This window comes from Homo sapiens, chromosome 14, assembly GCF_000001405.40.
Source record: "Homo sapiens chromosome 14, GRCh38.p14 Primary Assembly".
Taxonomy (NCBI): Eukaryota; Metazoa; Chordata; class Mammalia; order Primates; family Hominidae; genus Homo; species Homo sapiens.
Window position 1 is genome coordinate 97745061 of NC_000014.9, and position 23494 is coordinate 97768554.

Genomic DNA, 23494 nt, shown 5'->3' on the forward strand with positions numbered 1-23494 from the left:
ACACTAAAAGCAATGGCAACAAAAGCCAAAATTGACAAATGGGGTCTAATTATACTAAAAAGCTTCTGCACAGCAAAAGAAACTATCACCAGAGTGAACAGGCAACCTACAGAATGGGAGAACATTTCTGCAATCGATCCATCTCACAAAGGGCTAATATCCAGAATCCACAAGGAACTTAAACAAATTTAGAAGAAAAAAACAACTCCATCAAAAAGAGGGCAAAGGATATGAACAGACACTTCTCAAAAGAAGACATGTGTGCATCCAACAAACATGAAAAAAAGCTCATCATCACTGGTCATTAGAGACATGCAAATCAAAACCACAATGAGATACCATTTCACGCCAATTAGAATTGCGACCATTAAAAAGTTAGTAAACAACAGATGCTGGAGAGGATGTGGAGAAATAGGAACATTTTTACACAGTTGGTAGGAGTGTAAATTAGTTCAACCACTGTGGAAGACTGTGTGGAGATTCCTCAAGGATCTAGAACCAGAAATACCATTTGACCCAGCAATCCCATTTCTGGGCATATACCCAAAGGATTATAAAACATATAAGTGCCTGTGTCTACTATAAAGACACAGGCACTTATATGTTTATTGCGGCACTATTCACAACAGCAAAGACTTGGAACCAACCCAAATGTCCATCAATGATAGACTGGATAAAGATAATGTGGCATATATACACCATGGAATACTATGCAGCCATAAAAAGGTGATTTCACTAATAATTTTAAAGAAAGTATTTTTGTATTTGTTCACCTTATTTGATGTTTGTCTTATACTTTATCAATTACTGCTCTTTATTTCATTTTTTGCTTATTTTGACTTTAGTTTGCTCTTCTTTTTTAAACTTCTTATAATAAAAATTCAGATAATTTTTAGACCTTTCTTCTTCTGTGATATAAGCATGTATAGCTAGACATTCCTTTCTGTGCACTGCTCAAGTTGCAGTCTACAGATTTTGTTAAATTATGATTTCATTATCACTCAGTTCCAAATATTTTTAAATTTTCCTTATAATTTCTTTTTTACTTGGTCAGGTATTTAGAAATGTGTTACTTAATTTCCAAATATTAGGGACTTTTCTGGATATCTTATAATAATTAATCTCCAATTGAGCTTCACTATACTCAGGAAATAATGCCCTAGTATATGATCTATTTTGGTGAATGGTTCCCTTGAACTTAAAATACATGATTTCTGCAGTTTGGGAGTTTTATATTTTATAAATTCAATAAGCTCAATGTGGTTGATTTGTTTGTTAAAATCTCCTATATCTTACTGTTATTTTTATCTAGTTATTTTGTAAGTTCTTAAATTTTGCATTTCTCTCATAAAGTCCCTATGCATTTTGGGTTTTCCTAATAAATTGACTGTTAATATAAAATGCTCATCTTTTCTCAGATAACGTTCATTGTTTTGAAGTGTATTTTGTTTGTTATTAGCATAACCATTTCTTCTTTCTTATGGCTAGAGTTTACATGGTGTTTCTTTTTTTGTTCTTTTACTTTCAACCTAATTATCTTTGTATTCAAAGTTCATCTCTTGTAGCCATCACATAGTTTAGTTATGCTTTTAGGTCCAGTCTAGATATCTCTTTTATGCAGAGTATTTAGCATATTTCTATTTAATGCAATTATTGATACTAAAGGGGTCTGGAATGGCGATAATTATTTTCACTATTCTTCCATACTAGTCCCTCATTTTTTTCCATTTTCTTATTTTTTAGGCTTTATTGGTATAGTTGGAAATAATTGATAAATAATGACAAAATAACCATCAGGACCATGGAAGAGCCAAATACTTTAGATATATAAAAAATAGAACCTCTAATATTCTGTCATATATTTTAAATTTATAAATGATTTCAATGAACTCTTGTGCTAATTGCAAGATAGAGTGGGTTTTATTGGATGAAAATATTTCAGAATGCTTTGTTTTATAGAGGGTTTCTAAGATAATAAAAGCCATATGATATCAGTTTTTCCAAACTGATACAACTTTTCAGAATAGAAATTTAAAAAGTAAAATGTCACCTAATAGACCCAAATTTTGTATCAATGTTTAAAGTGCTTATTCGTCAATTCGATAATCTGGGTCATTTCTGAGGCAGCTTATATTTACTGCTTTATTTTTTCTTGAGTACAATTACATTATCCTATCTCTTGGTGTATCTAGTAATCTTTGATTGTATCCTAGATATTTTAGTGATGCATTGTAGAGACACTAGATTTAATTATGTTCTTATAAGAAGCAGTAGTTTCATTTCTAGCAGGTAGTTAATTTGGCTGGAATAAAACTCTCAATCCTTTTTTCCCGTAGTGATTAGCATCTCAAATGTCCCCTTCAATTCTTTTGTATTTCAACTGCTGCTTTAGCCAGACCTCCTGGAATCACTCTCAAATGTGCATAAACAGTTCAGGAGTTGGCCAAGGATTGAGCAGTCTCCCTGCTTTTCAGGATTTTCCCCCTTATTATTTATAAGCCATGCTGGCAGTCCTAAAGCCTTTACTCTTACACATGAAGCCAGCAAGACAATGGATTTCTCCTGGACTGTGCTTCACAGACTGGAGAATTTTCCCAGGCAAAAAGCCACAAGCATACTAATCTCACCCAATTCGGTTTCTATCTTTCAAGAAGAGACGTCTTTCTAGTTTTTGCTTGCTATTGGTTGCTCTCCAGTGGCTTCAAATGGGTTACTTATTCTTTCTCTTACAGATTTTATCATTGTTATTGTGAGAGCTCAATCAGGCTATTCTACCATTACTGAAAGCCAAAACATAGCTGTTTTGATTTCTAGCTTCAGAAACTAAAATTTTTATTTCTGTAAGTCCTATATGGTTACCTTCTAATATTATTGTTTTATTGCAAGACTCCATTGTTTTCTCATAGCTTTAGTTTTTCCGTGACTCTAATATTTTCAAACACCCTTATTTTAAGAATGTTTTGACATCTCTTATAAGGCTATGGCTTTACATCTTGCCCCAATGTGGGCATTTAACGTCCAGCCTCTAAGGCCTATAGGCAGGTTCAGCCCTTGTAAGTCACCAAAACTTCAGCTCCACCTTATAATTGGCTATATGTTCCCACTTCATTTCTAAAACCTAGAACATTCTCTTCCTTCGAACTAAGCTATGCACTTTTACCTTTTATTTGTTATGCTCGATCTTGTGTTTGTGATTTCTTAGTAGGAGGAGGGAGGTGGCTTCTTACCTTTGTATGAAATAAGGCTCCAAGTGTATTGTTAAGAACAAAGCAGATATTGAATATAAGAATTAATGGCTATATACTTACAAACATAAAAATTCAGAAATTTTGTGATATAATACATTTCAAAAGTGGACCCTTAAAAAGCAGATACATTTTCTTGCTCTAGGGGGTATCCATTTTATCAATCACATCCAACTCTAAGTACGTTGTTAGTATAAACCTGCATGGATTCCTAATTTTATTTCTATCAGTGGTGAGAAAAGAGTGCATTCTAGTCTCTGCTGACTGGAAGTCTTATAGCACAAGAGTTACAAAGACTGTGCTGTCTGTTTCATGGGCAACTTTACCAACATTCCGTGGCAACCACAATGGGAATGACTCTGACTCTACCACAATTTGCAGAGCTTAGGGGAATCCTCATCGATGCTCTACTGATACTTCTGTACCCTACAATTCCTTGTTTTCAATTTCTCCAATTCCTTTGGAAGACTGGGCCAATGGAATGTTGAAATTTCCAGTAACCCAAAACCGCCACAGTCTGTCACACTTCAAACCCGGGGCTGTGCATCCAACCGAGAATTCAAAACATTATTTTCACACTTCACTTCTGACCAAAGGAAATGTGGTATGCTGGCTTTAGCTTTGAATTTCAATCAATTTAATTCAAAATATATGAAATCAAAATGTATTTCCAGAACATCTGAGAGAGTCACCAAGTGCCTAGCTGCTTCTACTCTGTCCTGGAGAAGCTGCTTCTTATTTTGCATGTTTAAAGTCCCTGTTTGAAGTTCATCCATGGGGCTCAAGTTCTGGCTTGGCTTTCATTCCATGCCACATTTTACACTCACTTTTCATTTCACATGAAAACCAGGGGCAGGAGAACAAATGGGGATTGTGGTAAAAAGGGGTTAGAATCATGTCCCTGGTGAACAAAGCCAAATCAGAATTTTCCCTGTAAGGTTGAAATCAGACTCCAAGGGATGAAATAGATATTTATTGGAAGAAACATCATTTATTGAACACCTATTATATGCATCATGTTAAGGTCCCATGTTAGAGGAAAGTTAAATTGCAGGTTTTGTGCCTAAGCAAGAGCCAGACAAGTAACCAGTAATTAGGATAAAATGTGCTGAATAAAGAATTCTAGGAGCACATGAATACAGAGGAACATTGAGGAAGACTTAGGAAAAGACCAAGCATTCCAGTTGGGTTTTGAATCACAAGCAAAGGTTTGCCTGGCACTGGTAGGAGAGGAGGCAGTAGAAAACTAAAGCCATGGGTGCCCAGGGTGGTGATGAGTGGCTAGATCTGATCTAGATGTTCAAACCCATGAGTCAGGGGCGGGGCTGGTCTTGCTTGGCCGAGACCAAGGTAAAGGGACTCTTAAGTAAGCAAAACCAGGCACCGAGAACCAAACACGGAGGGCAAAGTAAAATCTGTCACTTTTTGGATAACAATAATAGCAATGCAGTTAACTTGTTATTGAACACATGCCATGTGCCAGGCCGTATTTGAATCCTCTGCATGCATTAGCTTATTCAATTTTTCTGCCCATCCTGGGGGGTATGTACTAACACTCTCATTCCCATTTTAGAGACAAAGAAACTGATTCAGAGAAAGGGAAAGCATCCCCAAAGATCACATAGATTACGAGTGGCAGAGACAGGATAGACTCAAACTTGTGATGCCAGAGTCAATGTCCTTAATTGCTACCTTACATTGTTTCCCTGGGGGGCACTCTGAGTTAGAATAGTCTAGGGTGAGAGCCAGGCACATGGACCTTTAACAACCCCACAGGTGAATCAGATGTGCAACTCACTCTCACAGAGGGATCTGAGTTCACATAGTTAGAAGAGAGCCCACAAAAAGTAAAATCAAAGGAGTCAAGGGGAGGGTAACCCGTTGGATGAGAGAGCCAAGAGGTCAGAATCCCACAAGGATGGGATTGGAACAAAGGGAACCAGGGATGTTTAAGGGCAATGGGAGGGTTATTTGTCCTGAGCGATTGTCCTGAGTGCTCAGCCGCAGCCTCGTGTAGTAGGCTGTGTTCAGGATGCGGGCCTTTAGTAAAGATTCTGGAGCTAACAGCTCCTGTGGGTGACGATGAGTAAGCTGCAGTGGAGAAGCCCGGGGACAGGGACTGCTCAGAAGGCAGAGGTTTCAAGGTCTCATGGAGATGAGATCCACTTCCCAGGTTATGTACTGATGGGGGTGGTGGTGACAGACCCAGGTTATGGAGGCTACTGGATGAAGAGTGCATTCTAGTCTCTGCTGACCTTAGACGCTGGTTCTAAGTAGTTCATTCATAGTAGAAACTCTGCTCTTTTGGACCTGTCTGATCAACCTAAGGGAAAAGGATGGAATATAGTCCTAGCATAGAACCAGCGTGTTGTGCAGGGAAACTGAGGCCCAGTCTCCTAACTTCAGATAAGGTGGCATGAAGGAGGGAAGGGATTTGGTGAGCAGGCCAGTCCTAGGGGTCCATTCAGGAAAGCCAACTTCCAGGGCCAGTATGTACAGCTGTGTGAGTGCATAATTCCAGGGATAAGAATGTTCATGTTGTGCTTGGCGTGGTGCAGTGCATAACCTGCACAACTGTATATGATGATCCTCCTTGGAATTCACGCTACCACAATTCTGGTCCCTACTTATTGGTAGGAATGATGACTTGCTAATCCCAGTGACAGGCCGGTCCCAATTCTACATTCTCCAAGGCTGATCTCAGGAACTGGAGAAGGCTGAGGGCTGAGGTCATGATGGAGAATTGACTTCTCGAAGGGATGTTTGAGGGATGAATAGCAAACATTTCTTATCTTTGCAGCTCTTGAAGGTGTGTAGCTACCTTTGTAAACCCAATGGCAGAACCAACTGTATAATTTAGTTCCTGGTGCAAAATAAAACTGTGAACCCCTTACTTGAAAAGCAGGAAAAAAGTATTATTAAAGGGACTAAAGCATAAGCCGTTTTCATTTTTTTCAGCAGATTCTCTCATTTTGTAGTGTTTTTTATTTGTATTTTTCATGTTTTTCTAACTAAAAAATAAGCTTTAAATTATTAGCGTGGATTTTACTGTTTATGTTGTGCCATGACAATTTTAAATTTGGCTATAGTAGCAATTAACTCTTACATAAAATTACCCAAATTTCACAGTTCATATGTTGCAGTTCCTATGTGTCCATGAATTTAGTTCTTACCAGGACACTGGAAATGCTGCACGAAACAAGCTCACCTGTTTTCCTTTCACTTCTTGATACGTGCACGTTTCATCCGCACTCTTTACCTTCCTCTCACAGGGAATGAGGGGGACTGAGAGGAACGGGAAATCTGGGCCCTGCCCTCCCCTTTCCTCCTAAACACCAATTTCAATGGGCATAGTTGGCCAATGCAGGGAAGCAACACGAGTAAGGAAGGATGTGAGGGGGTCCCTTGCCCTGGTGTCTGTTAGAATCCTGGTGCCTTCTTTCTTCATTTGATGCAAATCCTGGTTTGGATAGAAAATATGACTTACCTTGGACTCACTTTGAGCCTCTCTGAACTCCCATGCTGGCGGGTCCCTCACAATTCCACATTCATGGGGCATCTGGGGCATCATGAGCATGCTGCATTAATGGGCAGCAAGGAAAGGTGAACACACCCATTGCACTTCCCTCCTCCGCTCACGGACACGCTCCAGTGTGCCATCAGATTTCACCTGCAAAACACAAGTTCAAAGATCAAATTGCTGTGACTCTGAAGACAATGACAAGAGAGCATTAAACCAAGTGCCCAAATGCAGGCCCGTCGGAGCACAGGACCCTGTGGGACAGCCCAGGTCATGTGCCCATAAGGCTGGCTGTGTCCAGAGGCACCCAATCCCTCACCTGTCTGCTCCATGACCCTCAGAACCACATCACAAGGACCACCTCACAGATTGCAGCTCCTCGGCACTTAGACTTTTTTGAAGGTGGTAAGAAAGATATTCATCCTATTGAACAATGGATCATGCATCTTTGAAGCTAAAATTCTCTTAGTTATTATTTGCACTAACAATTTCCAAAGTGTTTTGGTTTGTTCATTTGTTTATATGTGGATGGAATTTTCCTTCACATCAATTCTTACATTATTTCAATGTATGAAATACAGAAGGTGATGCTTCCACTAGAGCAGGGTTGAAGCCAGAGCCTCACTCGTTTGCTCGTTGATCCCAAAGCCACCTCCTGCACTTGTGCATGACTCTGGCAGATACAGATGGAAAAAAAAAAAAAAACCAGAACTGATCTGATCCATGCAACTTTGTAATTATATGTAATACTAAAGAAATGTTAAACTAGACAGGAAGAAGTTACCTGGTCAAATCCCACAGCCATTTATAGACATACTGCTTCTTATGGTCAGGTCCCCCATATCAATGGTTCTGAAAGTAATGTCCCAGAGCCAGCAGGACCAGCAGCACCTGGGAACTTTTAGAGATGAAAATTATTGGGCCCCTTCCAGACCTAGTGAATCAGAAACTCTGAAGTGGGGTCCAGTTACCCGTGTTTAAATAAGCCCTCGAGATTATTATACACATGCTCAGGTCTGAGAACCACTGGCTTTTATATTCCACTTCACTAATGCCTAATCATCTCTCGGGCAGAAAACATGCCCGGAGCTGCTCTGGTCCACTGAGGGACAGTTCAAATCACAGACCATGCACAGCTGCTGAGACCACGTGCTATGAATGTGGTCACTGTTCTGTGAGGCTCCCACTCCTGCTGCATTTCCAGAAACACCTTGGGCCAGTGGAGAAGAGCAGCGGGGCCAGCCCATGGCCACATCTCACTGTGTGCCATGTGAGCAGGATCCTTCTCTTTAGCTCCTGCATTGAAGCCACAGAAGAACTTGCACCCTGCTCTTGTGAAGGAGAGGAGCGGTGGGAAGTTCCTCAGTATACTCATTGCATTTCAGTCTATCCTTACCTAGACCTCTGGCCAAGTCTAGGTAAATAAAGTGGGTGATGTTGTGGTGTTCCCCCCTTTCACTTTTTTGAGCTTTAAATTAGGAGTCAGTGGAAGGCTTCAATCTCAACAGCAGAAAGCCCATAGCTGAGGACTGTCATTCTTCCTTGATGACTCTCAATGGACCCACAAGAAAAATGGCAGATGGAATCCATGTGCCTTCTCAGAATAGTCCCTCAATAGAACCGAGGTCTTTCTTCACAGAGGACATTGTGTGGGTGAGATGAGACGAGGAGACCCTCATTCCTTACCCTAAGTAAGTAAGTACTCATGTCCATGCCTGTGGCAGGAGGGGTGGGTTGGGAGGGTGTGGGAGAATGAGCCCATGTGTGTCTCTCTTTGGCTGTTCTCTTTCCCATTTTTTAAATTGTGTTAAAGTGCACATAACATTTATCATCTTAATCTTTTTTTTTTTTTTTTTTTTTTTTTGAGACAGAGTCTCACACTATCCCCCAGGCTGGAGTGCAATGGTGCTATCTCGGCTCACTGCAACCTCCACTTCCCGGTTTATAAGCAATTCTCCTGCCTCAGCACCTCAGCCTCTCAAGAAGCTGGGACTACAGGCATGTGCCACCATGCCTGACTAATTTTTGTATTTTTAGTAGAGACAGGTTTTGCCATGTTGGCCAGGCTGGTCTTGAACACCTGACCTCAGGTGATCCAACCAACTTGGCCTCCCAAAGTGTTGGGATTACAGGCGTGAGCCAGCATGCCCTGCCATCTTAATCATTCATAAGCATGCAGATCGGGGGTATTAAATACATTCATGCTGTTGTGCGACCATCACCACCATCCATCCACAGAAGTCTTTTAATCTTATAAAACTGAAAGTGTGTCCCCGTGAACAGAAACTCCTCATTTCCCTCTCTCCCCAGACCCCAGTAACCACCATCCTACTTTGTAGCTGTATGAATTTGACCTCTCTAAGTACCACATGTAAGTGGTATCATACAGTATTTGCCTTTTCTGGCTTATTTAACTTAGCATAACGTCCTCAAGTTTTACCCACGTTGCAGCACTTGTCAAAATTTCTTTCCTTTTAAAGGCTAAGTAGAATTGTATTATATGTATGTATCACATTTTGCTTATCCGTTCATGTATCAATGAACCCTTGGGTGGTTTCCATGCTTTAGTTGTTGTGAATAACGCTGCTATGGACATGGTTATACAGACACCTCTTCCAGACCCTGATTTTAATTCTTTTGGGTATATACCCAGAAATAGAATTGCTGAATTATACGGTAATTCTATTTTTAGTTTTTTTGAGAAACTGTCTTTGGCTGCATTTTAGGGTCAGCCAGAAACTCCTGTTTTAAATACAAATATTCATAAATATACAAACTTACAATGTGCCCACAAAAATTAAAAATAAAAAATAATAAACTGAAAAGCACAAATATTTTCACTATAAGATGCCTATGGAGTCTGTGCTCCTTTCATGACTTTGTGTCTCCTTTTTCTCATTTCGTTTATGGTGGGGCAAGTCACTCTAGATGCTGCAAGAGACAAATCACCAATCTCAATTCTTTGGTTCTGTATGTGGGAGAGAAAGAGATAGAGAGGTGAAGAATGGATACTTGCTCCTAACTTCCTCAGACCATAAGAGGCAAGGTCACTTCTGTTCACATTCCGAATGGTGAGACTCTCGATACACAGCCCCGATGTAATCAGAAAGAAGGTTGAGAAGCATGGCCTTCCTGCATGCCCAGGGCAGAAAATGGAATGGTCTGGTGAACACATAGTGTTAGTTTTACCATGCTTTTCCATTGTCGAGAGGCTGAGAATTCAAAGAAAAATTAACAAACAGAACAATTGCAAATAGTGCATTTGCAGGCTTATGGTCGAGCCCTTCAGAGATGTGCTGTTCTTGGCAGACTGTGTTTTTAGGCAATGTTGACTTTTGCATTAACTTACCATTGTGGACCCACTGATTGTTATGGATGTAAGAGAGGAAGAGCCTTTCAGAGGAGGACTGCCTATGGAACCAGAGCTGCTATTTTGATTAATGTGACCAGTTAAGCTAAACAAAGAGATTGGCTGTAACTGGGTAAAATCAGTCACTCCAGATGCCCCAGAGAGACCAGCTTCTGGATTCAAAGTGAATACAATCTCCAGGTTGAGAGGGACAGCTATGGATGGGGGCTCTACAGAGAAACAAATCCCTCGCTCACTGTTGTAGGGGTGGAATACGTTCATGAAGGTGAAACGGCAATACATATTCCTAACTTGAAATTCTCCATACTGTCTGACATAAAGATCCCACCTCTGCTCTACGAATCGATGTAGTCTAGAGACCATGTAAATATCTGAGAGGAGGGGAAAGGGCATACACAGGCCTATCACATTTTTATTTAAGGGTGGAAAAGATCAGCAACCACTTAGCTGAACATAGAAGCAGCTGAATATATTGTTAGTGTAGCCAGTTCTTGGAAGAGTATGCAGAATTTAACATTATTTTTTCAAAGACTTTTTTATTACAAAGATGTTTTAGTCACATGGAAATTCTCTCCACGTAATCATACATGGAAAATTGTACATAACTATATAATCCCAGTGGCATTATATATAACATTATAGAAATAAAAATAATAACAACAACAATAATAGCTCTCATTGAATATAGTCTTTCATGAATTAATTTCATTTAGTTCTCAACCAAATCTAGGAAGTAGGTGATCATATCCCCGTTTGATGCATGAAAACACAGAGGCTCAGAGAGGGAAGTCTGTCACTCCTGGACACACAGCTACAGAGGTGAGATTCACATTCTCGTCTTCCTCCAAAACTCATGCTTTCAATGAGTTAGTTCATTGATGCAAATTAATTTATACTCGAGAATTTTATAAAGGGAAGAATGAGTATCAGAACATTACTTTGCAAGGGTTAACTATGTGGTAAAAATGGCAGTGATTTGGGAGTTTTCTTCGTTATGTTTTCTTTTGTTTTCACCAATTTCTGCATCAAGCATGCATTGCCTTTAACATCAGGAATAAAAAATGAATTCATGACGAAACCTTGCAGCTTAAACAAACAAACTTATTCATGAATTATAAACAAATGACTTGATGTTCAGAAAAAATATGGACAAATGCAACCACAGAGTAAAATGTGGGGTTATTGAGTTGTGAGACCTAGTTATTTTCTATTTCTTATTTCTGTGCCACATTTTGTTAAGCACAACTTTTAGACTAGGAAATAAGAAGAGAACTGACCACATTTACAGGCCTATCTTAATTTTATTTCTCTGTGATGACAGCAAGGCAAACATTTCTCTCTATATTTGAGGGACAAAAGCCAAATGGGGCCATGTCACAAAATGAAAGAGTTTTTTTCTTTTTTACGCATTAGGAAAGAGACCTTGAGACAATGACCACTTCCATAATGGAATCAAAATGATTTCAACTGAGCGTTTGTGGTCTGGTTTCAGATTGGGTGGTATAACCATGTACTGCCGATTTCAGGCAGCATCTGAATTGGCATTCTGTTATCACGGAGGAACGAGTGGGACCCAGGAGCTGTGTCGAAATTCTGCCCAGGCTTAATGAACGGGACCTCTGGAAAGGGCTCCCTGATATTTGCTGTGCCCCTGAAATCAGGTCTCCACTTAATAGGGAGTTTTCAGAAATAGAGAATGAGAGAGAGAGAAAGGCAAAGAAAAGAGGGAGAGAAAGGACAGGGGAAGAATGCAGCTGACCACTGGCAGATCGGGCCTGCCTCGTCTTTTCTTCCAGAGAATATGTCTACTTGGGCTCATGAGGATAGAATTTCAGGGCACCAGGAGCTGGGCAGTCCAAGCGGTCTTTCCCGGGGCTCCTGGTCTCCTGGATTGGGGTAGAAACGGGATGTTTACTACTGTTGCTGTTCCTGGTGTGTTCTGAGTATGACTGGGCGGTGGAACCAATTTCTTTCCCTCTTCCTTTTATTTATGCTCCCTGTTTTATTTGTTGAGCATCACTTTTAGAATAGAAAAAAGAGAGAGAGAGAAATGCCATTTTTACAGACTTTACAGACTTAACATGTTATTTTTAAAATAAAGCTTTCTAGTGATGGGGAGGCAGAGGCTGAAGTCCCTTCACTGGCTTAGGCTGGTTTTGCCAATTGTCTCTGCCAAGCACATCCAGAAGTCTCTCTTTCCCTTAAACTCCTACCTAAGATTTAGTGAGAGGCCAGGGAAGCTGAAACATTTCAAGGGTGTCTTTAGCGACACTGGGGCCTAAATCCAGGTGGCCTGGGGAACAGATCCCGTCAGATCCTTCCTTGGAGGCTCCATTAGAGTGTGGGGGAGAAAGCCAGAGCCTTCTGCCTCCCCCTGGATCCCAGAAGTGCAGCTAGAGAGAGGTGGCTCCTTGGGAACAGCCTGACATGAAATAAAGAGCGGTAAACGGCCAGCACTTCAACTTGAAAGCAGTAGCTCAGCCCTGCATGGCTGATAACTTTGGGTCAGGCATTTAAGCTGTAACCACAGCTGCTTCCCGGTGATGCGGCATGAGGCATTTATAAAGGGTCCTGGTGCAGAGCGGCTTCCCACAAACATTCCTTACAGTCCCCTCCTCTCCTAAGGAGCTCTCAGTTCATGTGCTCTGGTTAAATTCCACTTGAGATCATATTTTCTGTCATCCCCAAAGTCTCCCTCTTAGCTCAAGTGGTACTAAAGTGAAAGATAGCTGGTCAAATCTCCCGAATCCTTATTCTCATCCCTATCAAACAAAGCCGGATTTGAGGATTACCGAGGCTATGGTAACATGCTCTCGCATCTGAGAGTGGGAGTGTGTGTGAGGAGGTGGGGAAAGACACCTGGCCTGCAAAGGAGAGTTGGTCTCCTGGCCTTGCGCCTCCTAATATGTTGATTACACCGCTGGGCCTCAGTTCCCATTATGCTAAAATGAGAAGGGGGAGAGGCATCCCTGTCTACTGACCTCTGAGTGCGGTGTGAAAGGTAAAATAAACCCATGCATGTGAATGCAGTTTGCAAACTGTACAGCCGTCATTCTCATCTCTGTGTGCTTCCGGGATATAATTAGTATAGTTATTGATAACTTTGGTAATTTTGAAAGCACCAAAATGGGCATTTTCTTTATCTTGATTTTCTGAAATTTGGCTGAAAAATAATTAACTGCTTCCCCAGTGTTTCTGGGTCTTTGGAGGAGCCGCTGACCTCTCTCAGGTGCCTTTTTTCCATCTATAATAGGAAGATCAAATGCCATCCACCTAGAAGTTTCTAGGATGCTCCAAGATGACTCAGTGTGGGAGTGTTTGGTAATCCCTAAAGCTCTCTACAATGTAGGTAAAGTGAGTATCAGTGACGACGAGTAACGTGGGCACAGATTTAACAACCAGGGAATTAGCACAGCATCTTTGGGGCTCCTGCCTGGCACAGGGGCTTTGAGAATATTTGAAGGCAGGGCCGGCACTTTCCTCATTACCAGCACACACAGTGGGTTCTCGCAAAAACAGTTCTTTTAAAAATGCTATTTGTTCCAAATATAAATTATCTGGTCAACCTAATTTGTTAGTCTTTCTCTTACTAGTTAAACTGTTCAAGTTTTATGTCAACTTGAGTGCCTTTCAAGGTCTACTTTAGTTTTACTATAACTCAGCAAATCAGTCCCAACATTTTATAAACCTCAGAGAATTTGGCCATTACAAACTGATATTTTTATTTTGCTTGAAGTTATTCCTGTACGCGTTTTAAAGAACGGAAATATTAGCCCATAACAATCTAGGCAATGGAGTCCCTTGGCATGGGTGACATTGATCAGGCTTGGTCACCTCCAGGATGCGAGGACTGGTACATTTCACAGCCTCGGTGCTGAAAATAATCTTTCCAGGAACAGCAACTACCACAACTTAATTTGCTTTTATCTCTACCTTTCATTAACAAAATTATTCCTAGAATTTATTTTGTCAAAAATATGTAAATAACTATTTCTTGCTTCAGGATTATTTTAGAGAAGTCCCAAAATAGAAATTGACCTGGAAAGCAAATTATACATACACACGCATATATGTGGTGTGTGGTTTGGGACATCATATGCTATAATATGCAATACAAAATGTATATGTATAGGACACATATTCTGATGCTTAGTATATATTTACAGGACTTCCATTCTATGCTAGGTGCTGTCCTAGCTTGGGAACAATCCCCCAGCTTTTTGTTGTAAAATCCTATGTTTGCACCCAAGTTCTACCAGTTAGCAGATGTGTGATGTTAGGCAATTTACCACAGTTTATTGACCCTAAGGTGATATTGTAAGAAATATTTTAACCTCTGAAATGAAATGCATCTTACAATTGATGACATCCTACAATTAGAATTGTCAGCATACTTTTTTCTCTTTGTGGTACGTAAGGTAAGGATGCATCTTACAAAGGATTTCACCTTAAACTTGATAACATCCAGAATCTTGCCTTTCTGAATTTTGGTTTCAGTCTCTGCAAAATGGAAAAATTGCTAACACCGAGTTGTTCTGAGAATTAAAGTAATTGATGAATTTAGAAGATTTTCTATTATGGTTACTCAATAAAGGACACATTGTTATTGTCACACTAACTTATTAATAATAGCCATAATTTAAAGAGTATTCAGTCTGCTGACAATGCTTACTCCCATTACATAGATAAGAATATTTAAGCTTATAAGAGTTGGGTTATTTACCTAAAGCCGAGACCAAATTCAAATGCAACATCTGTCTGACTCCAGTGTTCGCACTGACTCCACTAATGCTACCTCATTATACATAAATACATTTTGTATTTCGTATGTTATTCACATACAATGTGTAACCCATTGTTAACAACCCACAAATCTCTGCTACTAGGAAGGAATGAGATGGAGTTTCCAATACCCAAAGACCCCCTCCATGGCGTGTTACTGACTCTGCCTGGGCTTTTGAATGAGGATATTTATTTCCAGGTCTCTCAAATTCTGTGGTTATTTAATCACCTCTGATACCTCCCAGTAATCACTGTGTATTGCATTATGCAAGTCAGCAAATTCTGCTCACTTTAATATACATGAGGAGGAGGGAGGGATATTTCTCACTGAAGGTTTTATGGAAAATTTTGCATTTATTGATTTTTTTCCTTAAATCTTATTCTTTAAAGACACCTCCCATACACACACACAAATGCACATGCATATATATGATGAAAATAATGGCTATGGCCATGTTTGTTCAACCTAACAAAAATATAGCATATTGACAACATTATCTGTCATTCCCACATTTCACCTGGAGTAGAAAACTGTTTGATCTCAAAAGCCTGTGGACTACATCAGTTCACAAGAATATATTTTATTCATGCACATTAAAGTAAAGACAACCATATGCAAGGGTTTCTATAACTTGGGAAAAGAGACAAAATAAAACATGTTTCTGCTTGCAAGCTTTGCATGTTGGTTACACTAGCAGTGTTCATGCCATTTACATTTCTGCATTTTTTTTGGTCCCCTGTATTTTCAATGATCAGCACAGATTTGATGGCTTGTTGACATGGCAATGCCCTTAGAGGTCATCACTTCCCAAAAGAGATAACTGAGGGTCCAATAAGTTAGGGACTTCTATGGGGTCACATGTTGCTTTCTGTATAGGACAAGACTAGAACAAAATGTTATCTGTCTTGTAGTTCTCAGCTGGATCCGGGTACTGAAAGGGAGATGGAATCTTAGGGAGAAAATTTCACATCTCTAGACTTCTGTTTTCTCTTCTGGGAAATGGGGATGGTAGTATTGACCTCACAGCGTTGTTGTAAGAACTAATTAAAATAATATATGTAAGGGTGCTGGTATACTCTGGTTGGCACTGTTCCATATGCCTGTTTGTTTTATTTTAACTTCCTTATTTTCATTTATCTGCTGCAGGTAGCATAAAATTTTATGCAGGGGCACAAAATGACATGGTTACGACAGATTTCAGGTGACTGTGTAGACCATAAAAATATCTGGTTGTCAGCCAGGCGCGGTGGCTCACCCCTGTAATCCCAGCACTTTGGGAGGCCAAGGAGGGCGGATCATGAGGTCAGAAGATCGAGACGATCCTGGCTAACATGGTGAAACCCCGTCTTTACTAAAAACACAAAAAATTAGCCAGGCATGGTTTCACGTGCCTATAGTCCCAGCCACTTGGTAGGCTGAGGCAGGAGAATCACTTGAACCTGGGAGGCGGAGGTTGCAGTGAGCTGAGACTGCGCCACTGCACTCCAGCCTGGGTGACAGAGCGAGACTCCATCAAAACAAAACAAAACAAAACAACAAACAATAACAACAACAACAGCAACAAAAACCTGGTTGTCTCTTTGCGTTCTCTTTTATTCAACAGGAATTATCTATTGCTGTTGTATGACATTTTATCTTCAGCAACCTTGGGAACCAAAAGCAGAATGCCTGTCTGGGGGCAACATGGGAAATCTGAAATATGGCAGTTTGTAGACTGGGGTCCTCTCAGAAGGCAGTAGGTTTCATTGCAATCTTGTGGTTTCTGGATTATCAGAGTAAATGTTTCTGCCTCAGAGTCCTTAGCTCTGTGTGGCCAGTAAAGCAAGTCTAACTCAGCCAACCTGGAAAACATGCTTTTGTATATTTCTCTTGGTGTTCTCCTTTCAGGGGAGAAACACACTATTGGCAATTGTTCTCAGAGTGGAGAGTGTTATGTTTTACTTTGATGCCCTGGGCTCCTTGATAGTCCACAAGCCCACACACGGTACCAGCAGATGCTTAAGTCTTATTTTTTTTTGCCACCTGCTAGATGTTTCTAGCCAGATCATTCACTCCAAATGGAACTTGAATGTCATTTAAAATCATTTTTGGGGCCTGGTTGTCTAGTCTCTTGAGCTAAAACTATGTAAAACACTGCCATTTATCAAATCCAATAGGTTAGCTCATTTATTCCTCACAGAGAACTTGTGATGGAGGGAATATCATGCTTTATTTGTACAAGAGGAGACAGCAGCTCAGAGATGTCTCATTACTAGATTTGGTTGGCCAACTAATACGTAGCAGAGATGTAATCAGAACCGAGGATAATGGAGGCCCAAACTGACCATTTAGTATACTGTGCTACCCCTACATACTACCAGGTTTTCAATATGAAAAGGAAGATACACTCCCTTCTTTAAAAAATAAAATCGATGAAAATATTGGGTAAAGGACCTGTGGCAATGAACATGATGTTGAGCAGAGAACTCAGCCCAGAGTAAAAGTTCAGTAAAATCGTATTATGGTGGTTTCATACTTACGGGTTCCCAGCCCCAAGGAAACACTTCTCTGCTCTGTTATCTGTTGCTGGAGTTGCCCTTTATGAAATCCATTTCCCAGGCTGCGGTATCCTTGGCTTCCTGTTGCGTTGTGCCAATGGAAGTCACAGGAAGGAGACAGGAAGTTAGGAGGAGTAAAAAGAACTTTATTCTTGGTGTTTCTTATTCCTTTTCAGTGTTGCTCCAGCAGCAGCAGCAATTGACTCTATCTCTACCTTCTTTCTCCATTCCCAGAACCAGACTTCTCACAGCTTCTTAGACCCACAAACAGCAGCTGATAAGACCTTCTTTGCAGGGCTCTGCCCTCTTTTGAGTCTCAGCTCTGGTATCCTCACTTCTCTCTTGTTCTCTGATCTCCCAGTAGTGACTGCTTGTTGTGTGAATGATTTGGTTATTATCTCTGGGTAATATTGATTTCCTGTTTGCTCTTTTAGTTTGTCAAATTCTCATGTTAAATCCTGTCTATTTGAAATACGCAGTGTGGTTTTCGTTTTCTTTTCTGAACCCTGAATGATACATTTGTTGAATGATACAACTCCCAAATAAACACAGAAATCTGAACAAGATCCACTTGGTCATCTAAAGGTGTTTGAAACCAAATGGAAAGGATGGACCTAAATCCCAATGGAGTGTAGAAGGGTTGATGGGAGTGTTAAACAGAGGCATGAGCCAGGTGCGATAGAACAGGACAGGGAAAAGACGATTTCTAGAAGATCTAGAAATCTAGATTTCTAGATGCTAGATAAATCAAGCATAAGGCTTGATTTGATTGAAAGGTAGTGTGGATTCTACTGAGAGAGACGAACTAACATGAGTTCTTGCAGGGTCTTCAAAACAATTTATCATGGGTAACAATTTCCAAAAATTCCCTAAAACCAGTATTTGGAGTGAGATGGAATATATATATTAATCCCTAAATAAGTAACTTTCTCATAAAAGCTAATGTTTATCTGGCACTTAATACAAGCTCCATGCCATGCTTGACTGTGACATGGACTAGTCGATTTGGGGCTCACTCTGGCCATCCTCTGTTTTAGAGGAGACACAATTGAGGCTTGAATAACAAAAATGCCTTGTACAGAAGGTGAACAGGAATTCTAACCCTGGGAGTCTGCATCTAGAGACAATATTATGTCACCTGCACAGAAAGGGGTGGATTATTATCAGAGGGCTTTGGTACAAATCTCACCTATATGCCTTTAGGTAAGTCACTGAGACTTGTTCTCTGTGTGTTAGGAAAGTTCTCTAACACTTGCTTTCTTCCTTAGAAAAACAGAAATGCTAGTGGGCTCTAAGGAGGTTCAACATCTCAATGGATGCCCATCATAGACCCATCAGCAGTTGTTAATTTGCAGGAATAACTTTATGGTACCAGATTAGGATGAAAACCCTGCAATTTCATGCCCAGTCACTTACCTTGAGCCCCCTCCCTGAGCAGAGAAGCTGTAGGCTGTGTGAGGGTCTCCAGTCCTCTCTGTGCATCTCTGAGCCATTGTGTAACCACCCCAATGCTGACAGGGCTGTAACCCACTTTTATTCACATGACAGCTGACAAGAGATCATTGCAGTTAACTCTGACCCAGGTGATTCAATGTATCAAGGTCAACCTCCCTGCTGCCCAAATGGCATTGAGTGGGAACCATGGTCCTAAGAAGATGTTTATGGGCGCTTGGGTGCTCTCAACAAAATCACCAGTCACCAAGTAAGCATGATGGAAATCCACAGTGAGAAGGAGGCCTTCTGTAGTTTTCTAAAGGGTATTAGTTTCCTATGTCTGCTGTTAACAACTTAACCACAACCTTAGTGGCTTAAAACATCACAAATGTATTCTCTTAATAATTCCGACCTAGAAGTCAGAATTCCTAAATGAGACTCTGGGGGCTAAATCAAGTTGTCATTGGGTTGGTTCCCTCTGCAGGCTCCAAGAGTGAATCCCTTTTGGCACCTAAGTCTCACAATAGTCTTTCATGTTTGTATTATTAGTTCAATTTTACAAAAGAGAAAACTGAGGCTCAGAGAGCAACCTACCCCATGTCTTACATCTATTAAGGCTGAGATAAAACTAAAACTCAGGTCCAGTTGGCCACCAAGCCTTCTTTGTCATTTCTATTCCCCTCTCCTATGATGTGTGGTAACAATAGTAAGGTTGCTGAATTCTGTGTGCTTTGCAGTAAATGTCCCAAGATCCAAGATGTAGCTTCTTCTACTCTCTCAACATCATTTCACAAAAAAGGGCTGAGAAGGAAGCAAGAAAGAGGCATGACCTATATGTCCCGTGGTTCATGCCCTCACTAAAGTGATAGTTTCTTTTCCGCTGGAGCCTATTAATTTTCAGAACAAATCCATGTGGTAGTCAGTATGATTTGTAACTCCTGGATGGGCAAACCCAGGCTAAATCAAACACCCAGTTTCCCCAGTAGATAAATGGAGGGACTTGTCTGAATTTAGGATAGAAGGAAGAGGCTGGTGCACAGCTCAGACCCATGCAGAATGGGTTTCCTGCAGGAGGCAGGGCCCTCAGATGGATTAGGAGAGGGCCAGGGGCCCTCAGGGTCCAGTGGGCAGCTTTGTCCACCTTCTATCATTCCAGGCTATGCCCAGCGTCGCTGTTCTGCCAGTTGGGTCTCTAGTAAAGATGTTTCTTTGTGACCAAGTTGCTATGTCAGTCACCCATCCCTGCTGAATCCACTTTTTAGTGTGTTTGAGTGCACACACACACAGAGCCTACCCTTAAACAACAGAATGATTTTGATACATCATTTAACTAACCAATAGTAACATCTTGACAATTTTAATCGACTAATTATACACTCATGGTCATCTTGAAAAGTGCCCATTTTGGTTCTTTATGTCTTGACAACTGTAAGAGTCCTCAGCTGGAAAATTGGGATACAGACAGAGAATTTCAATTACTCTGACCTTGGGAAGTTGAAAGCTGGGATTTCCTTCCCAATGGGGCACAGAGAAGCAGAGAGGAGTCCTGGGAAGACTGGGTTGGCCACCCCCAGAGCTAGACTTGGGGTCTGCTCTGCTCCTCTCTGGAAATAATCAGAAAGAGACCAGGGAAAGGCATCAGGAGTTGGAGAAGAATGCAGATGCTACAAATTTAGGTATCCTCGAAACTAAAATAGCCTGGCATTTCTGCTTTCCTTCCTCTGTCTATGCCCATTACAACCTCAGACTCTTCAGAAGCTCATTTTCTTTCTTTTCTCCTTCCACTTCCCTCTCCTCCCTCCTCCACTCTTCTCCCCTTCTCTCCTCCTTTTTCCTTTTTAAGATAGATAAATGAACATTTCATCTTTCAAGCTTAAACACGGTGTTGGTTTGCTAACACGTGCTAAAGACCTATTTTGTGCCAGGTAATTTACAGTTATCTTTTCAGTAATTTCTTATATAAACTCAAAAGATACCTTCCCCATTTACCAGAGGCAAGCCTGAGTCTCTGAAGCAAATAAAGTAACTTGCTGAACATCATTCCAGTAGTAAATCATGGTGCCCTGATGAATCCAGCTCCATCCGCCTCCCAAACCCTCCTGGTGAGTGTGTGCAGGGGTCTCACAATTTCCTGGCTTCTTCTGTCAATCCAGAGAAAGAGGAAGCTCTGCTGAGGGTCAGATACAGGCCAGTCCTCCAACCCCATGTAACTGTGGCTACCGGCAGCTTGGACGAAGTAGTGGAGGGTGTCTGGGGCAGCACTAGTTTCTGCCTGGAACAAATTTTTAATGCCAGAGGCTGATCTCGGATCTGGGGTCTCACCTGCTCTCCCAGGTTTCATGTTTTGAAGGCCCCCTGGGAAGGGCTGAGATCAAGCAGTGCAGGCTTAGAAGGCTCCTCTCTTATATTGGGGGAGCAGGAAGGGGCACCACAAGCATAGAGAGCCTCACAGGTTGGGGAACCTCAGATGTGTTCCACCAATGCCAAAGCCAACGTGTTGTCAGAGTCAGTGGGAATTCTCTTCAGGAATAGTTATTTCCCTTCTCGAACTTGTGGAAGTCCCACAGAAATGAATCAGACAATGACTGGGTGTCCTTGAACAATGTCTCTCTAACATTAAGTGGCTGGATCTGTAAATTAGGCACAGTTATGGTAGCCTCAGAATGTCATTTTCAGAATTAAATTGAAGAACATATTGAAACAAAAAAGGTTCCCTTGTTTCCCTCGCAGGGTGTGCAATGCAGAAATGGCTTGCTTCTTCAGTGCCCGGCTGCTCAAACCTCTAGGGGAGCATACAGATGGGCAGGTGGTGGGGCTCTGACCATGGTAGCGTCTAGGGCTGGATGTTTACAGCTTCTGAAGCCTCAGTGAGTGTGTGCTACCATGCACTCTTTTAGTTTTGCTGTCTACGGATGGCTTGTGTTGTCCAACTCAACTACACCCTCTACCTTGTCACAAAGACAGAGGACTTTCTGTATCCCGGGTTCTTGCCTTGGTGCACTGCAAGAATCAGATCACACGTGGGCTTGGAGAATGAGTGAAGGTTTTATTGAGTGGAAGTAGCTCTCAGCAGATGGGGGAGCCAGAAGGGAGATGCTTTTCCCCTGGAGTTGAGCCGCTCAGTGGCCTGGGCTCTCTGACCACCCCAGCCAAACTCCACGTTTTTCCACCAGTTGATGGCCTGCTGGCCTGCCGGGGCTGCCGGTGTGCTCCTCTCGACTTCCTCTTGATGTCCATCTGCTTGTGTGTTCTTCCGCTGATGTGTTCCTCATGGCCTCCAGCCAGCTTGTGTCCCTGTCTGCTAGGGTCTCAGGGTTTTTTTTTTTTTTTTCCCAGATGGAGTTTTGCTCTTGTCGCCTAGGCTGGAGTACAATGACGCAATCACAGCTCACTGCAACCACTGCCTCCCGAGTTCAAGTGATTCTCCTGCCTCAGCCTCCAAGTAGCTAGGATTACAGGCATGTGCCATCATGCCCAGCTAATTTTTGTATATTTAGTAGAGACGGGGTTTCACCATGTTGGCCAGGGTGATCTCAAACTCCTGCCCTCAGATGATCCACCCGCCTCAGCCTCCCAAAGTGTTGGGATTACAGGCATGAGCCACTGCGCCCGGCTGGGTCTTGGGGTTTTCATAGACAGGTTGGGGGTGTGGCAGCCCAGGGTGGTCTTGGAAAATGCAACATTTGGGCACGAAGGCAGGAGTGCCTGTCCTCACCTAGGTCCATGGGCACAGGCCTGAGGAAGGAACCCTACCCAGGGACCCGCCTTCCTCTACCCAGCACTTCTCTGCCCCCTTTCCTTATCAGTAAGCTAAGCACTTAGCCCAGATTCTGATGCAGGTTTGTGACAATGCTGCTTTTCTTTCTTCCTTCAGCAGTGATTATTGTGCCAAGCTTTCTGCTAGCTTAAGGTTGCCAGATGAAATACAGACACCCAGTTAAATTTGAATTTTAGATACTCAATAAATTATTTTTAGTATAAGTATGTCCCAAGTATTTCATGGGATGTACTTATACTAAAGAAGTTCTTATTCATCTGATATCTAAACAGATCAGGGTGTCCACCATGTACATTTGCTACATCTGTTGACCCTATCTAGGCATCAGGGAGGCAAGAGTGGTGGACAGAAGAGAAGTCATTGTCACCCGGTTAACATATTAATGGGATAAAAGTCTGTTTTTTTTTCTGTCAAGTTCCTCTGCCTTCCTCCAGTGTTTTGTTTCTTTTTCTTCTTTTTTATGTAATTCCTGAATAAGTAGAGCACCTTCATTGCTGCTGATTTTCTCAACGGCCTGCTGCTGCAGAGGCTTCTTCTCCCTCACACGCCTGTGCCTTGCTTGGGCAGCCCAAACTGTGGGGCACAGGCTGCTGCCTCCCTTAGACGGTGGCCAGCAACATACCCTGGGTGGCTCACCGCCAAAGCCAGTGCTGCCTTCAGCACTCTGTGATGACGACCTTGAGGGAAAGGTCATGTTGGCTGTTGACAAGTGCCCTGGGCCAGGGCCTGGGGCAGGTCCTGCTGATTCCAGCAGGCATCACCGTAGCTGGAGATGGAGTTAGCAGAGGCCATGCGTGCCCTGACAGGGACTGGCTGAAGGATGGCCA

The 23494-nt window shown here is 41.8% G+C and overlaps 2 long non-coding RNA genes across 2 annotated transcripts in view, besides 1 other annotated feature; one reads left to right on the forward strand and one right to left on the reverse strand.

The window, feature by feature from the left end:
• The window catches only part of LOC105370651 (uncharacterized), a 91436-nt gene that overhangs the window by 38926 nt on the left and 29016 nt on the right, over positions 1 to 23494 (forward strand). The window lies entirely within an intron of this gene.
• Positions 2131 to 2761: an enhancer, noted in NCBI's record as "OCT4-NANOG hESC enhancer chr14:98213528-98214158 (GRCh37/hg19 assembly coordinates)". NCBI's record gives its function as "activates a minimal SCP1, AML or CMV promoter by ChIP-STARR-seq in primed H9 embryonic stem cells {active_cell/tissue: H9 hESC(primed)}" and the evidence as "EXISTENCE:reporter gene assay evidence [ECO:0000049][PMID:30033119]".
• Positions 4204 to 17771, reverse strand: LINC02312 (long intergenic non-protein coding RNA 2312). Its single transcript, NR_146447.1, has 2 exons — positions 17438 to 17771; positions 4204 to 6915 (listed from the first exon to the last, which is right to left on the reverse strand). It is a non-coding gene; the product is annotated as a long intergenic non-protein coding RNA 2312 (long non-coding RNA).